This window comes from Homo sapiens, chromosome 4 (genome assembly GCF_000001405.40).
Source record: "Homo sapiens chromosome 4, GRCh38.p14 Primary Assembly".
NCBI lineage: Eukaryota > Metazoa > Chordata > Mammalia > Primates > Hominidae > Homo > Homo sapiens.
Genome location: NC_000004.12, coordinates 167,875,631 through 167,877,451, shown reverse-complemented (window position 1 = coordinate 167,877,451; position 1,821 = coordinate 167,875,631). Strand labels below are relative to the sequence as shown.

The following is a 1,821-nucleotide window of genomic DNA, read 5'->3' as shown; positions in this document are numbered from 1 at the left end:
GGGTTCAGGGGTTTCTTACCTTCCAGAAAAGTGGGAAAGGGGTCAAGGCATGGAAATAAGGGGTTGGGGTGCAGAGATAAGAGGTCAGGGTGCAGAAATAAGGGATTGGAGCGCAGAGATAAGAGGTCGGGGCATGGAAATAAGGGATTGGGGCACAGAGATAAGAGGTCGGGGCATGGAAATAAGGGATTGGGGGTTCTTTCCTCCAAGAAAAGCGGGACTTGCCACTAAGGGTGAAGGAGAAGGGGTTGGTGTACTTGCCCCTCCCCCAGAAAAGCGGGACTTGATGCTAAGGGTGAAGGACCACGGCAGGCATCCCCACGTGGTCTGACACCTCTGAAACCTGGTTGAATAATCAGAGAGGCATCCCTGCAATGATTAAACACCAAGGGAAGGCTGCCTTCCCTAGTCCATCACTGATGCTGGAGTTTTGGGTCCACGGATAAAACGTGTCTCCTTTGTCTCTTACCAGAAAATGAAAGGAATTGAAATTAAGAGAAGGGGGAGATTGAAGTGTGGCACCAAGATTGAAAGGAGAAAGACGTTGAGGGATAGTGAGGGAGGTTGGAGAAGAGAGTAAAAAGAGGCCGCTTACTGGATTTGAAATTGGTGAGATGTTTCTTGGGCTGGTCGGTCGGAGGACCTGAGGTCGTAGGTGGACTTTTCTCACGGAGCAAAGAGCAGGAGGACAGGGGATTGATCTCCTAATGCAGGTCGCCCATCCGAGTCACGGCACCAAATTTCATGTGCATCCGTGTGAAGAGACTGCCAAACGGGCTTTGTGTGAGCAATAAATCTTTTAAACACCTGGGTGCAGGCGGGCTGAGTCCGAAAAGAGAGTCAATGAAGGGAGATAGGGGTGGGGCCATTTTATAGGATTTGGGTAGGTAAAGGAAAAAGGGGGGTTGTTCTCTGGTGGGCAGGAATGGGGGTCACAAGGTACTCAGTGGGGGAGCTTTTGAGCCAGGATGAGCCAGCAGAAGGAATTCACAAGACAGTGTCATCAGTTAAGGCAGGAACAGGCATTTTCACTTCTTTTGTGGTGGAATGTCATCAGTTAAGGCAGGAACCGGCCATCTGGATGTGTACCTGCAGGTCACAGGGGATATGATGGCTTAGCTTAGGCTCAGAGGCCTGACAGCAGTCATGCTCTTCATTCATGTATTGTCTATGGCTGCTTTGCATTACAACAGTAGAGAAGTTCAGTTGTTTTGAAAGAGAATGCATGTATGTGGCACTCTTATTGCTTCATGCTAATGCTTGGTACTCTAAAAATTGTGTTAATATAGTTAAAACTCTGTAGCATTCCAAATTCCACGTCGCTATAACACAACACTTAATGTATATTTTATTACTAGTACACAACCATAAATTTAAAACAAAAAGAAGAAAAATGACTTTAAATGTTGCATATTTAAGGCACAGTTGAGTATGAATTATTTTGTACTGAATTTGATAGCAAATTGCCCAACGATGATATATCTATTCTTAAAAAAATTATATTGACATTAACAAACTAAGCATTGTTCACAATATTTCCTACTCACAGAAATGCAATGTTTAGAAAAACTAGAAAATTTAAAACAGCGTATCTCATCACAGTAGAATTTCTTCACAAAAATAACAAATGAGACTGAGGCTACAACCATAATAAAATTTCAAATGTCCCATTTTTTAGCCAAGCAAGAAAAGCCATTTACCAATGGTGAGTTATTTAAATCATGTTAGATTTGAGCAGCTGAAGAAATGTGTTTAGAGAAAACAAACTTGTTTAATATGATTAGCCTTTTAGCCAGAACAGTTACTTGATGAGTTAAGGAC

At 43.2% G+C, this 1,821-nt stretch overlaps 1 annotated feature.

Moving 5' to 3' along the window:
- Positions 695–1,425: an enhancer, noted in NCBI's record as "OCT4-NANOG-H3K27ac hESC enhancer chr4:168797178-168797908 (GRCh37/hg19 assembly coordinates)". NCBI's record gives its function as "activates a minimal SCP1, AML or CMV promoter by ChIP-STARR-seq in naive H9 embryonic stem cells {active_cell/tissue: H9 hESC(naive)}" and the evidence as "EXISTENCE:reporter gene assay evidence [ECO:0000049][PMID:30033119]".